Genomic DNA, 16,290 nt, shown 5'->3' on the forward strand with positions numbered 1-16,290 from the left:
ATCAGAGGTCAACAAACTTGTGGCTTTCAGGCCACGTCCTGCCTTCAGGAGTTTTGTTTGGCTTGGATAGTGGAGTTTATTATGTGAAGGATATAAGGACTAAGCTCATGTTTCCTTCTGGTAACAGTCATTTAGAGCTAAGTAGCAGTCGCCTCCTTTTGACTGCACTTGCACTCCCCAGGTCATCTTAGCCCTGCCTCTCATTTCAACTTATTTGCCTCACAAGTTTGGATCCTTCGAGTACTTTGGTTTCTTGCTCCTTGTTTACAGGTACATCTTAAACCTGCTGTTTTGGGATCACTGACTACTGTGATCTGCATGAAAGTGGGGAACATGATTTGTTTCCTGTTGTATTTATCCTGGTTCTCAGAATCACCTGCTACGCAGTAGACAGTGTTTGTTTGATGAATGAATGTTCTCTCTATCTGGAACACTGTGTTAGTTTGGATTATTGATTCTAATACTCCACTCATCCCTGTGTCTTTCCCTTTGCCATGAGACTCTGCAGTTTTTTGTTTTGTTTTGTTTTTGGAGACAGAGTCTCACTCTGTCCCCCAGGCTGGAGTGCAGTGGTGCAATCTTGGCTCACTACAACCTCCACCTACTGGGTTCAAGCAACTCTCATGCCTCAGCCTCCTGAGTTGCTTGCTCCCGAGAAGCAAGAAATGAAGGCACACACCACCTCACCCGGCTAGTTTTTTGTATTGTTTAAGTAGAGATGAGGTTACAACATGTGGGCCAGGCTGGTCTCAAACTCCTGGCCTCAAGTGATCTGCTTGCCTCAGCCTCCCAAAGTGCTAGGATTACAGGCATGAGCCACCGCACCTGGCCAGACTCTGCAGTTTTTTTCTACCCTTTGACTTCAGACTTCACCATTTGACTTGCTTTGGCCAATAGGACATTCATAGATATGACGTAAGCAATGACTTATGTGATCAGGCTAGTGCTTCTGCCATTGCATGAAAAGAACCTACTCTGGGTAGCCCATGGGTCCAAGGAGGATGAGAGAAATGTGGAAAAGACCTGTCTCCATAGCCACCATTTGGAGCCAAACCCAGATGAGGTCAGCTGATCTCTGGGTGACACTCAGACATATGAGAAGTAAGTGTTTGTTGTTTTAAGCCACAAATTATAGGATGGTTTGTTAAGCAGCAATAACTAACTGACACATATGCCCAATCTTCACTTCCCAAGCTTTCAAAATACGGCCCATCCTCAGTTCATTTCAATAACTGCCGCCTAATATTCAGTTATGTCATTGTCCTCCAAATTTTTATAGCACATTATTATTATTGTTATTTTTAATTTTACTTTAAGTTCTGGGATACATGTTTAGAATGTGCAGGTTTGTTACATAGGCATACATGTGCCATGGTGGTTTGCTGCAACTATCAACCTGTCATCTAGGTTTTAAGCCCCACATGCATTACGTATTTGTCCTAATGCTTTCCCTCCCCTTGCCCCCACCCCGACAGGCCCTAGTGTGTGATGTTCCCCTCCCTGTGTCCCTGTTTTCTCATTGTTCAACTCCCACTTATGAATGAGAACATGCAGTGTTTGATTTTCTGTTCCTGTATAGCACATTATTTTTAAAAAGCAGAGTTCTTATGATATAATTCACACACCACACAATTCACCCATTTAAAGTATACAATTCAGTGGCTTTTAGTATATTCTCAGAGATGTGCATCCATCACCGTGATTGATTATTGACCATTTTCACACCTTCCTCCACTCATTAAAAACCTCACATCTCTTAGCCATCACTCCCAAACCCCACTCCATCCCTAGCAATAGACATCCACAAATTTGTCATTGTGGGTTTGCCTATTGTGGACATTCCATATGAATGGAATCATGCAGTATGTGGCCTTTTGCATCTGGCTTCTTTCACAAGATCTGTTCATGTTGTCCATGTATCAGTACTTCACTTCTTTTTATTGCCAAATAATATTCTGTTATGGATATGCCACATTTTATTTATCTATTCATCAGTTTATGGACATCTGGGTTGTTTTCACTTCTTTGTTATTATGAATAATGCTGATATAAGCATTTATGTACAAGTTGTTTGCATGAATAATACTTCAGTTCTATTGGGTATATATCAAGGGGTGGAATTGCTAAGTCATATGATAACTCTGTTTCGCTTTGTGAGGAACTGCTATACTCTTTCCCACAGTGGTTGCACCATTTTACATTCTCACCAACAGTGTATGGGGGTTCCAGTGTCTCCACATTCTTGCTAACACTTGTTATTATCTAGCCATCCTACTGAGTGTAAATGGTGTCTCCTTGTTTTGATTTGCATTTCCCTAATGACTAATGTTGCTGAGTATCTTTTCATTGGCTTATAGGCCATTATTCATTTCTTCTTTGTAGAAATGTCTATTCAAATCCTTTGCACATTTTTAAATTGTGTTATTCGTTTTTATTTTTGTGGTTTTTTTTTTTTAGACTGAGTAACATTTTCTTCATCACTCATGTGGCATTTAATAGTTACTGTCTGGTGTTGATAGTATTTTTTTTTCATGTGTGGACAACTTATTTTCCCATCTAGACAGGGAACTCTTTGAGCACAGGGACTGTCTCATATCTATTGTTTTCCTTACTGCAGCTGGTGATAAAAATATCACCACTCCCCAGAGCTACCACTTATTGAACCCTTGATATATTCTAGGTACAGTGCCAAACACCTTACATATATTATCTTCTCATTTGATAATCATAGCAATTCTGTGAGGTTGTTATAATCTCCATTCTACAGATTAGGCAATTGAGTCAGGCAGAGGTTGAGACATCTGCTCAAGGTCACATAGCAAGTGGCATAGAGGGGACTCAAAAGCAGGTAAGTCCGACTCCTAACTTGCTTTTTTTGTTTTATTTATTTTTGTTTTTGTTTTTGTTTTTTTTGAGACAGAGTCTCGCTCTGTTGCCCAGGCCGGAGTGCAGTGGCGCCATCTCGGCTCACTGCAAGCTCCGCCTCCTGGGTTCACGCCATTCTGTTGCCTCAGCTTCCCCAGTAGCTGGGACTACAGGCGCCCGCCACCACACCTGGCCAATTTTTTTGTATTTTTAGTAGAGACAGGGTTTCACTGTGTTACTCAGGATGGTCTTGATCTCCTGACCTCGTGATCCGCCCTTCTCGGCCTCCCAAAGTGCTGGGATTACAGGTGTGAGCCACCACGCCCGGCCCTAAACTTGATCTTTTAACCACTAAAGCCATTGCTTCATTATGTACTGTATGCTAGTATGATGTGTGTCTCCTATGCATATAGTGGGCTCACAATAAGTACTTTTGATTAATTAGCCTGTAAAATGCAGATAATAAATTCTACCTTTATCTCATAAAGTAAGTCCCACAAAAGTGCTTGGAAAATACCCAATGTTCAATAAATATGACACATTTTTTGGAATATTTGTTTATGGATTGTGCAAATGACTGAAAATGTATGGTGGTAATGCTGACATTCACAAGTTGACTGTCGCATAATGCTATCATCAAGTGTCATAATGGAAAAGTTCCAGCCTTTCCTAAGGACTACATTTTCTCTGAGACACTAAAATCTGGAGTTGAAGAATTCTCCAGAGGCTAACCTCCATGTAGACCTTTCATGCCACCTTGCTGAAAAGATATTCGTCTACAATTCTCAGCGGCTTTCTTCCCCACTCCTGAAGCTTCTATCGACAACATCCCTCTCATCTCTTTCTCTCCCTTTCTGTGGATGCAGCTCGGCCTACCCGACATCTAACCATGCTAATAGCCTCTCAGTTGCTATGGGGGTTCTTTGGAATAAGTCAAGCTGTTGGAAGCTTTGTCTGGGCAAAGTGTGTAGCTGACATCTAAAGGAACTATTCCCTGAGGTCGGGCACTCATCCCAACAGAAAAGGAAGAGCTGCCAAACCTGGAGGCAGTGCGCAGTGTCGTGTTTTCAAAGCTTGCTGAATTTCGAATAGCAAATCTGACCATGCATACAAAGAAAGGTGATTTAATATTCTGACTACTTCTTCCCTCCCCTAATACCATCTGCAGCAGAGACACAGTAGCCCTCCTCCTTTTTATTAAAACCAAGACTATTGTCTCACTAAAGTAAAAGATCCTCATGTCTGGTCCCAGAATTCTGTGTGTTCCCTACCCAAGGCAAGAATGGACCCAAGGTGCAGACCACTTAGCAAGCACGTTTATATTCAGGGAAGTGTGCAGAGACAGAAGAAGGCTGCAAGTGAATCTGCTAGGGGTAGATAAGAGCTGCAGGTCACCAGCACCACATGTGACCTGCTTGTGATATAAGCCACGTGCTTTATGCTGTAATTCTTGTTTTACAAGGCAATAAAGCAGGGGATGCGGGGCGGGGGTGGGGGGACAAAAAGTGCTTTTCAGTGAGAGTGTATTTTGGTCACGTCGTCCGCCCTTTTCTTTTCTCTTCATAAATCCGGCATGACTGGTTTAGTCAATTGGAAGTTTTGTGTATTGTTTGGCTTATGTATGCACAGTGCCTAGGCTCTGTCTCATTATGCTGATGTTAGCACAAATTACTGCATGTGAGGCTCCGTCACCTAGAGAGGGACACAGGAAAGGCAACATGTCACAGAAAAAAGAAAATTAAGTTAGGTGTTTACCCTTGCTCTCCACCTCACTAAAATAGTATAAACTTTGATGACTGATTGTCTTAACATCACATTTAGTGTTTTTAAAAGATGTTTTCTGTGTTTAACAGCACAGTCTCTTGAGTCAGAAAATTTTAAGTTCATATCCCAGCTTTGCCACTTGCTAGCTGTTTGGCCTTGGGTGATTATTTAGCCTCTCTAGGCTCTGCTTTCCTTATCTGTAAAATGGTAGTTTGATTCCTAAAACGATGCTATTAACTGCTAACCATATTGCTTCATTATGCCCTATGCAAGAGGATACTGGAGTTTTTGGTTAAGATTAAATCAGATACTGCATGAAAAACATTTGATACAGTGCTTGGCACATAGTATTTTGTAAATGCTTTCATTGCTTTTTCTGGGGTTACCAATACCTGGAGAAAGTATATGGACTGTGCCGAATAAGAGTAGGCGAAGGCATTCTGAATGGAGGGAGAAATTTGGGGAGAGGTGGGGAGCAGTGTAGTCTCATGGTAAATACCATGAACATTGACAGCTTCACCTATTACCAGCTCTGTGACCTTGGGCTAGTCACAACCTCAGTATTGAGCCTCAGTTTCCTCATAAGTAAAATGGAGCTAATAATAACACGGTTGTCATGAGGATTAAATGACATATAAAACACTGAGCACGGGCTGGGCACAGTGGCTCGCGCCTGTAATCCTAGCACTCTGGAAGGCCAAGGTGAGTAGATCACCTGAGGTCAGGAGTTTGAGAACAGGCTGGCCAACATGGTGAAACCCCGTCTCTACTAAAAATACAAAAAATTAGCTGGGTGTGGTGACGGGTGCTTGTAATCCCAGCTACTCGGGAGGCTGAGGCAGGAGAATCACTTGAACCTGGGAGGCAGAGGTTGCAGTGAGCTGAGATCATGCCATTGCACTCCAGCCTGGGCAACAAGAGTGAAACTCTGTCTTGAAAAAATAATAAATAAATAAATTAATTAATTAATTAATAAAACACTGAGCACAGTGTTTGACAGAGGAAATGCTTAATAAATATGAACTGCTGTTATTTAAAATTATTTTTCCCTTTGTAGTTTGACACCCCAAGTTAGGAGCACAACAGCTAGGTGGATGCCAAGATATTGAGTTGTAGAGCATGCATAAGGCCGCTGCCGAGTTCAAAGAGCCTGGAGAGGAAGAGGCCAAACTGTAAGATTCATCTGCCCCAAGCTCATCAGGGCCCACATTCAGCATGTTGTCTAGGACATCAAAATAACTTTTGATGGGTCCTGGACCCATGACCCATGCATGCCATTTTGGACAGCATTTCGCAGGTCTGAGCCTATTTATAAACACTGTTTATTCATGAATTTTAGCCACTTGGAAAGCCTCCTGAATCACATGGGACCAAACCCAAGGCCTTTGTAGCAAGGGGCAGAAACTTAGCCATTTTTCTTGATCTACCAAGCCAGACTTTTTGCAAAGAGTTTTGAATATTTTGGAGAATCCGATGAAGGCCAGGGCCTCTTTCCCAAAAGAATGCACATAAGCCCTAACCCCCTACTTCCCTACACAATTTAGTACACAGTTTTGGAGTTTTGGAGAGTTCAAAGTCTTCATAAAGTCTGCTATGGATCCCATAGGGGTTCATGGACCTCAGGATAAGAATCCCTGGATTAGTGGAGGAGGACCTTTTTAAAAATTATAATTATGGGATTTTGGCCATACAGCCCATCACTCCTGGCTTCAGGGCAGATGAACAGTAAATTCATAGACTGAAATATTTCAATTTAAGTATGGTTTGCTTTTTTCTTTTCCAGAAAGAAATACATGAGGATTCACCAAAGAAGTTTGGTTTCAAGAGTCAAAATAAAAAGGCTAGTTTACACAAAGTGGGTTGTGGGATGCTTGTCTAAATTCTTTGATTTGGTCTTATCTGTGGCATCCTGGCATGAAACTGCCCAAGGGAGACTTAATCAAATCCTGGGAGATTGGCTTATAGAAATATATGTTTTTAATACTTACCTGATATACAGGGATGAAAATTCTAGTTAACAATCCCTCTCTAAACATACACACCTTCTTCTTCACTAAAGAAAATAAAAGTCCTAATATGAAGTGTTGCAGATGTTCTGACAGCTCTAGTATTTTGGCACATAAATGGATCTGTGAAAAGCATATTTCTTTTTTGTTATTAAATCAGAATTTCAATGTGTCCTACTTGCTACTGCTGAATGGTGCATTTGCCATACAGATGTTGATGCATAATCAATGAACTTTTTTAAAATGCCAGTGTTCCCCATAGCAGAATCATCATTCATTGAGTAGGGAGGGAGGCAGAGCTGAGCCAAGAGAAACTGATTCTTTCTTGAAGAATCATGCTGATTCTCTGGGGTCCACTGTACACTGGTCTTCAGAGTTTGAGAAAACTTGTGTCAGGGGTCCCCTATATAAAAGATCAACAGAACATGGACCATAACTAAAAGATGTTTTACTGGTCTCATGTTTTGCTAGCCTCTGTGTGTTTCGTCACATGATCAGCTTGTAAAGTCCTTAAAATGAACTAATAAAACATTTAAGTGTAGGTAGTTATGTAGAGCCCCCAAAAGGAGGGAAGCTGAGGAGGTTATGGCCCCTTCCATAACCACAATTATGGGAGAGGAGAGGAGATAGCAACTATGGAGAGGAGATGAGACAAAGCTGAGGTTTTGTAGCCTACAGCAAAGAAAGGAGCATGGAGAATGGCCTGGAATTGAGAAGGGACCCTTATAGTCTTTCATTCAGCCTGGAGATAAACATCATACATGAAATTGTCCAAGAGAGAAGGAACCCACCAGAATTCTGTGTGGATTTTCTTCTCAGATCCCAAATACTCCCAAAGGCTGCAAATAGAAACAAAGGTGATTTGATAGATGAGACAGCTTAAAAATTTTCTGACTACAAAACACCCATTGCTGGATAGAATATTTCATTTTCAAATGCATAGTTGAGTATACAATTAAGAAAGAGAAATTCCCAAAAGTCAGAGTCCCCCCAAAAGACTGAGAGCTGAGTGGAAAGCACATGGGTTAAATGTGAGGCTTTTCTGGCATGGGAGAATGTTAGTTTCAGTAATCCAAGGGCCTGAGTTTTATAGAAGTTTATGTAAGTATAGGAGATTAATCCATTGACTTACATGAGATGATGTAGATGCTGGCATGGATGCAGTGAACAGAGAACACTTCTACACTGCTGGTGGGAATGTAAGCTAGTACAGCCGTTATAGAAAACAGTGTGGAGATTCCTTAAAGAACTAAAAGTAGAACTACCATTTGATCCAGTGGTCCTACTACTGGGTATCTACCCAGAGGAAAAGAAGTCATTATTCAAAAAAGATACTTGCATATGCATGTTTATAGCAGCACAATTCACAATTGCAAAATCGTGCAACCAACCCAAATGCCCACCAAAATGGGTGCATCAAAATCTCACAAATCACCACTAGAGAACTTACTCATGTAACCAAATACCACCCGCACCCCAATAATTTATGGGAAAAAATAACAAACTAAAACAAAAACAGAATTGAGGCCCCCGCATTAAACTAGAGCCCTCAAAAGGATATACCCTTGTAGCTCCTTGGAGAAATGGCCGAGTACAGGTCTGGGGCAAGGGAATAAATATTGTGTTAATATTTATTCCCTCTTTGGAATATTTTATTGTGTTAAGAAGAGATTATGTGCACAAAGACTAGGGGAATATAGCAAAAGAACATAAGAACTGACTCAAATGGGCTCCCATTGGTCAATCTGAGGCCAAGTTTAGCATTATTTACAAAGAGGAAAAGATATTGTTACAATGCAGAGGTCTGGAGGACTACCTTAACCAAGTGGTCAAATTATCATCATCGACAATGGAACAAACATATATGTGTCTTTAGATGTGAAATAATGGGAAAAACACAAAGACTTCAAACCCGCTAATATAAATATGTTCAAAGAACAAAAGTAAATCATGTTTAAAGAAGTAAGGTACAACGGCAATTTCTCATCAAAGAGATCTGGGGCTGTTGGGAGTGCGATCCCAGGAGTGCTCTTCTTAGCTGTCTGTTTCCTGGATTCTCTCTGTCAATCTTGTGACTGATCTGCCTTCTTGCTCACTGCTACATTTGACCCCTGAACAACACAAGTTTGAATTGCACAAGTCTACTTATACACAGAATTTTTTCAACAAGTATATTGGAAAGTTTTTGGAGATTGGTGACAATTTGGAAAACTTGTAGATGAACTGCATAGCCTAGAAATATTGAGAAAATTAAGACAAAGTTAGGTATGTAATGAATATACAAAAGATATGTAAATATGGTTTATGTGTCAATCGACTATTTTTGTTTTCAGGAAGACTTCCAGTCAACAATAGGCTACTAGTAGTTAAGGTTTTGGGGAGTCAAAAGTTGTAGATGTATTTTTGACTGTGCAGGAGTTGGTGCCTATAATCCCTGCATGGTTCAAGGGTCAGCTGTATTAGTCTCATGAAGCTACCAGCATTTTTTTTTTTTTTTTGAGACGGAGTCTCGCTCTGTCACCCAGGCTGGAGTGCAGTGGTGTGATTTCAGCTCACCGCAACCTCCGCCTCCTGGGTTCAAGCAATTCTCCTGTCTCAGCCTCCCGGGTAGCTGGGACTATAGGTGCGCACCACCACACTAGGATAATTTTTGTATTTTTAGTAGAGGTTTCACTATGTTGGCCAGGCTGGTCTCGAAAACCTGACCTCAGGTGATTTGCCCGCCTCAGCCTCCCAAAGTGCTTCTGCCAGCCTTTCTTAATTGCTTGCCACCAAGATCTCCTTTTTTTTTCCTTTGGCACTATTTCTGGTTTCTTTTTTTCCTTTTTAGTTGACACATAATACTTGTACATATTTATAAGATACAGAGTGATATTTTGATACATGTATATAACGTATAACTGTAACCACCCAATGGGTTCACTTTGCCAGCTGCCTAGACAGAGCCAATTTATCAAGACAGGGGAATTGTAATGGAGGGAGAGTAATTCACGCAGAGCTGGCTGTGCAGAAGATGGGAGTTTTATTATTACTCAAATTAGTCTCCCTGAGCATTTGGGGATCAGAGTTTTTAAACATAATTTGGCGGGTAGAGGCTTGGGAAGTGGGGAGTGCTGATTGGTCAGGTTGGAGATGGAATCATAGGGGGGTAAAGTGAGTTTTTCTTGCTGTTTTCTGTTCCTGGGTGGGATGGCAGACCTGGTTGAGCCAGAATACGGGTCTAGGTGGTGTTAGCTGTTCCATCCAGTGCAAGGTCTGCAAAATATCTCAAGCACTGATCCTAGGTTTTACAATAGTGATATTATCCTCAGGAGCAATTTGGGGAGGTTCAGACTCTTGGAGCCAGAGGCTGCATGATCCCTAAACTGTAATTTCTAATCTTGTAGCTAATTTGTTAGTCCTGTAAAGGCAGACTGTTCCCCAGGAAAGAAGGGGGTCTTTTCAGGAAAGAGCTGTTATCAATTTTGTTTCAGAGTGAAATTATGTACTGAATTCCTTCCCAAAGTTGGTTCGGAATGAACAAGGACAACTTAAAGGCTAGAAGCAAGATGCAGTCAGTTAGGTCTGATTTCCTTCACTGTCATAATTTCCTCAGTTATAATTTTGCAAAGCCAGTTTTATGATGATCAAATCAGGGTAATTTTCACATCTGTCACCTCAAACATTTATCTTTTCTTTGCTGTGAACATTGAAAATCCATTGTTTTTGGCAAGGCCTTAGGCATGATCTTCCCATGTTCTCTTTTAAATAAAGTCCATCATTTCAGGCAGAGCTGTGGAGCTCTCCATCCTTATGGCCTGACTCTCCTCCTGGGCAGTACTTCTGCACCACTGTATTGGAGCTGAGGTCAGGGGCAGTGGATTGCTTCTTCTGGAGTGGCACTCCTGCTTTACCAGTGGGCACTGGGGATGGTGGTAGACCCTGGTTTTCTCAGCTTGCCTATCCCATATTAGAACCTCTATCCTCTGAATGAGCTGGGGTGGAGCCAATTGGGTACCACTCCTCTAGGCCTATCATCCCTCAGGGAGAGCCCTTGCACTACCAGTGGGAGCTGAATGGGGAAAGGGAAGTTCCTGTCCTCTCAGACTTGCTTACCAGGGATAGAACTTTTGTAATATAGGGCTGGGGAAGATGAGGGACACCAGCAGCCTGCTCCTCTCAGGTTAAAACTGTAGCCCTGGACTAGTTGTGGGGAAGGGGAACACCTGTCTTCACATCTACATGTGCCAGAGTTGAGATTTCATCGCACAGATCTTGTTGGGTGGAGCGTGGGAGCAGGTAGTAGCTCAAATACCACAAACTCTCACTGTACTGGTTAAGATTTAGTAGATTTTCTTGGATAAATGTTTCTTCATTTGCTGTATGTTCTTGGGGCAATTTCCAGAAATTCTACATGGTTTATAAAAATAATTTTCAGCACTTAAATTGTTGTTTTACTGCAGAAACACTTCGTTGAACTCCTCACACCACCATTCCAGAAGTCCTGCCTGTCCATGGGCCATTTCTTATATATAAGGAAGAATGATTCAGTGGATACAACCAAGAACTCAGAGGGTGGAGCCAAGAGCTAAGAAGAATCATTCCCAGAGATCAGGACTGGGCCGTGATGAAAGAACTAGTGATGGATTTCAGAATTGCTATGGAATGCTATGTGTTTCCTTGTTCCCCTCCTTTGTGAACTGAAGTGTCTACTGTGATTATTAAGTTTCTAACTCACCATTGTATGTTGGGTATGTGGGGGCATATAATTTGTTTCTTTATTTCATAGGTCCTGAGATCTAGAGGCTCTGTACTCAAGGAGCTTCACTTGAGGAGCCTCATCTCCACCTAGACCTGATTTAGCTGATGAAATCCTGGTCCTCAGATCTAATCCTGATGTTAAAATAGGCTGAGACTTCTGGGGGCCTTGGGGGAAGGTGAATGTCTTTTGCATGTGTGAGAAATGTAAATAATTTATGGCTAGAGAGGAGAGTGTGGTAGACTTAAAATGGCTGCAAATTCCTTGTGGCTCCTCCCATTGAATCTGGACTGGCTTTAGTCACTGCTTGACTAACAGAATACAGTATATGTGATGTTGTAGAATTTTAGTCACAAGATCACAAAAAACCTTGATCTTCTGCCAGGGACTTTTTGAATGCACCTGCCATGCTGTGAGGAAGTCCAGGTAACCACATGGAGAACCACACAGAGACAGAATTTGAGATCCCCAGCTGGCAGCCCTAGTGGAGCTCCTAGCTGACACCCAACACCAATTTGCCAGTAATGAAGATAATTCATTCTGGAAGTGGATACTCAGTTCCAGTGGAGGCATCGGGTGACGCTGTGTAGCGCAGAAATGAGCCATCCCCACCCAAATTGCAGACTTATGAGTAAAAATAAATTACTGTTTTGAGCTACTGTTTTAGAGTGGTTTGTTATGCAGCATAAATAACCATAACGTTCCTTAACCTAGCAACTCCACATCTATATGTCTACCTTAAATAAACTCTTGTGAATAAAAAATATGAATGAGGATGTTTATGTGGCACTTTATATAAAAGTAACGAAGTTGTAACAATGTGCTATCCCTCAGTTGGGGAATGGATAAATAGACTGTGGCTTATTCATACAGTAGTTAAAATAAATGAGCTAGCTCCATCTGTATCAATATATATAATCTAAAAATATTGTTAAATGATAGCAATTTGTAAGGTACATGCAGTAGATTCCATTTACATACATTCAAAAATATACAAAATGATGTATGCATTATTTATGGCCATACATTTTTATGGTAAATGTATAAAACCAAAGAGCTGATTAATAAACATCAAATTCAGGAACATGGTTCTCTCTGGGGAGGAGAGAAGGAGGGAGAAAGGATAAAAGTGGGGCTTTGGCTGTAGTAGTAATGTTTCACCTCTTTTGTTCTTTCTTTTTATAGAGCTCTGTAAGACAAAGTGTTTACATCTGTTTTATCTTAGTGGTAGGCACAAAGGTGTCTGCTATATTATTTTCTGTAATTTGTATGCTTAGATTAGTCATATTTTAAATTTTTTAAAATTCTTAAAATATTTTAAAAATTTTTAAATATTTTAAAATATTTTAAAAATTTTTAAATATTTTAAAATTTTTAATTTTAATTTTTGCACTCATTAATCACTACAATATACAGCGTGTCGTCAAATAACATCCCTTCTTTATAACACTGATGAAAAAATCTAATTCTGGCTGGGGCCACTGTGTGTGTGGAGTTTGCATGTTCTCCCAGAGTCTGTGTGGGTTTTCTCCATGTCCTCCTGTCTCCTCCCACAGCCCAAAGCTGTGCACGTTAGGTTCATTGGTGTGTCTGTATGATCCCAGTGTGAATGAGTGTGGCTGTGTGTGTGTATGCCCTGTGATGGGTTGGCATCCTGTCCAGGGCTGGTTCCTACCTGGCGTCCTGAGCTGCTGGGAGAGGCTCCAGTCACCACAACCCTGAACTGGAATAAACCGGTAAATAATTCTCTTACTTATTAATATTTCTTAAATGTATGTATAGCTCACATTTATTTCCATGTTTACTATTAGATGTGTTTTGGGTCTTTATTTAGAAGTTTGGTGATTTTTTTGACCACAAATATGCCATAACTCTTGTTTATATCAATTAACTTGTAGGAAACCATTGAGGACTTTGAGTTCTTACTGTACTACCTCAATTTTTTTGGTCATAATCAACAGTAAATATTTTATTTTATTTTATTTTATTTTATTTTATTATTTTATTTTTGAGATGGAGTCTCACTCTGTCACCCAGGCTGGAGTGCAGTGGCATGATCTCAGCTCACTGCAACCTCTGCCTCCCAGGTTCAAGAGATTCTCCTGCCTCAGCTTCCCAAGTAGCTGGGATTACAGGCACACACCACTATGCCTGGCTAATTTTTGTATTTTTAGTAGAGATGAGGTTTCACCCTGTTGGCCAGCTGGTCTCGAACTCCTGATCTCAGGTGATCCATCCACCTCAGCCTCCCAAAGTGCTGGGATTACAGGTGTGAGCCACCACACCTGGCCAACAGTAAAGATTTTAAAATCAACGTTACTAAAATATTATTTTAGTAACGTTATTTTTTTGTCTAGGTTAGCTTTTTGTCTGGCTTCTTTTGTTCAGCATTAAGCTTTTGGAATTCATATATGCTAATAAGTATATCAGTAGTATGTCCCTTTGTATTGCTGAATAGTATTTCATCGTATGGATACAACTCGATTTTTAAATTTACCTCCTGTTGGACATACAGGTTGTTTCCTGTTTTGGCCATTATAAATAAAGCTACTATGAACATTCATGTACAAGTCTTTTTGTGGACATAGGTTTCCATTTCTTTTGAGTAAATAGCCAGGAGTGGAATTTCTGAGACATATGGTAAGTGTATGTTTAACTTTGCCAGATGCTACCAAACTGTTTTCCAAAGTGCTTATACTATTTTACATTTCAGCAGCAATGTATGAGAGTTTGAGTTGATCTGCATGCTCACCAACACATGGTATTATCACTCTTTTTAATGGTAGCCATTCGAGTGAGTGAGTAGTGGTATCTCACTGTGGTATAATTTGCATTTTGCTAGTGACTCATAATATTGAGAATCTTTTCACATGTCTATTGGTCATTCCTATGTGTTATTTTATGAAATGTTTGTTTAAATTATTATCCATTTAAAAATATTAAGTAGTTTGCCTTCTTATTATTGAGTTGCAAGAGTTCTTTATGTGTTCTGGATAGAAGTCCTGTGTCAGGTATTTGGGTTGTGAATATCATTTTGAATTAATTTTTGCGTATGGAGTGAGGTAAGGGTGGAGGTTCATTTTATGTGACATGGATAGTCAATTGTTCCAGCACTTAGCTGGACTGTGCCTGGAATCTGCTCTATTTTGGGCTTCCTATTATGTGAAATAAATGTTATTAATTTATGCCAAGAATATCTGCATATATTAATTCCTATGACCACCTCCCAGTTTTTCATCTAACATTTCTGCTCAGAGCAACAGGAGAAGGCATAGGGGAATTACCTAAGTGTGTAAGGCTCTGCAACTACACACACACACACACACACACACACACACACACATACACACACACACGGGGAGTGAGGGAGAGAGAAAGACACACACACCCCGCACAGAGATTGATTTTCTCATTCTTGTTTAGCCAAGTGCAATGACATACGTCATCATCATAGTTCACAGCAACCAGTGACAAAATTAGTTTAAATCAAAAATTAAATCCCAAACACATCTTTCTCACTTCCTTTAGCTCTGGCTCATTTTACCCTGCTGACTCTAGTTCCTTTTCTAATTCTGTAATGTAAGCCTTTATTGTCTCCTGCTGGGTGCACCATAACCACCTTCCTGGCCTTTCCTCTCCTAAATCAATCCTGCCAGACTACTTTTTTTTTTCCAGTGCTGTTTTCCCTAAATTGTTCCTAAGCTCAGACCTCCACAATGTCTTGTTCTGTAACCTCATCAGGTTCAGACTATTCTGCCTGGCTCTCAAGACCCCACTGCTTCTATCTTCCCAATAGGCTGGCATCCTCACTTTTCCATAGACAGCCTGTATTCATTCCTGCCCCTGTGCTTTTCGTTCATGCCATTCTCCTCTACAAAGCCTTCTGTGAACTCTGTAGCCTCATCACCTTTTTAAATTGTGAATTCCTGCTGCATAATCCAGTCAGCCTCTGTCTTTTCTTATATTCACTCTTATTGAATGTGTACATCTTGTCTCCCCAACCGGGATAGTGGCTATGTGAGTGTAAGGATTCTACCTCATATTCTTCTCTCCCCTGCAATGCTGAGCACATAAATGCTTTTCTGGATTATTTTAGTGTTGTTTTTTTTTTTTTTCACTCGCTGATTAGAGTGAATGTCAATTTGAAGTAAAAAGAAATAACACTTTTTACTTTTAGAGTTCCCTTTCCATCTCTGCGGTTGGCTTTGGTAGCTTTGTGCTCCTGGAAGGAGGAAAGATTTCTATGGGAGGAACACTATGGCAACTCCACCCCCAACTTCTTGATTATCTCCACAGGTTTGGAGGCGGATGGGAGGCCAATATTCTCTAATTCCAGGCCAGAAGTGAATGAGGAAGCAAGAGACAGATGGCTGGAGAGGAGTATTCTCTTTCTTAGACATCAGGAAAAGCCAAGCAACTGACCCCTGATTTAACCGTTGTTTGCCCCAGCAAAGACGAGGGCCACTCTCTCCAAAGGAGATGCAGGCACTGCTGTTTCCTAGCTTTAACCAAGGGAAGGGAGAAACTTAATTGGGAAAATATTTTTAGAAATGAGTATTTTAAAATTGCACATAGGAAATACGCAAGGAGAAAAGTATGCAAGAAAATGCACTCTTACTTTCCATTTTCTATCCCATTGCCAATAAAAGAGGCCCTCCCTGCACTCTCACCTTGCACTTGAGCCATGAAGGACAAGATTCTGCAGGTGGCCCCCAGTACCTCCCTATAGAGCTGGGGAGAGAGTGGTGTTAATTCCTCACACGTGGCCCCATGCACATACATACACACACAATCAGTCTCCTTGGCTTTGTCTTTCCTTATCCTTTTTCAAAAAAAATTCCAGTCTGATATCATCAGTGATTTGATGTGTTCTGTCCATGTCTCAGAAGGACTGACCCTTGGGTTTCATCCTTGCTG

The 16,290-nt window shown here is 40.8% G+C and overlaps 3 annotated features.

Annotated features, from left to right (window-relative positions):
* Positions 4,166-4,310: an enhancer, noted in NCBI's record as "145 bp enhancer 234 fragment used in the MPRA reporter construct; PK_construct_4149". NCBI's record gives its function as "activates an SV40 promoter by MPRA in K562 cells {active_cell/tissue: K562}" and the evidence as "EXISTENCE:reporter gene assay evidence [ECO:0000049][PMID:23512712]".
* Positions 4,230-4,247: a transcriptional cis regulatory region, noted in NCBI's record as "GATA motif; enhancer activity is reduced when this motif is scrambled". NCBI's record gives its function as "necessary for full MPRA enhancer 234 activity {active_cell/tissue: K562}" and the evidence as "EXISTENCE:site-directed mutagenesis evidence [ECO:0005528][PMID:23512712]".
* Positions 11,687-11,776: an enhancer, noted in NCBI's record as "active region_29943". NCBI's record gives its function as "activates an Ori minimal core promoter by ATAC-STARR-seq in GM12878 lymphoblastoid cells {active_cell/tissue: GM12878}" and the evidence as "EXISTENCE:reporter gene assay evidence [ECO:0000049][PMID:35858748]".

Source organism: Homo sapiens, chromosome X, assembly GCF_000001405.40.
Source record: "Homo sapiens chromosome X, GRCh38.p14 Primary Assembly".
NCBI lineage: Eukaryota > Metazoa > Chordata > Mammalia > Primates > Hominidae > Homo > Homo sapiens.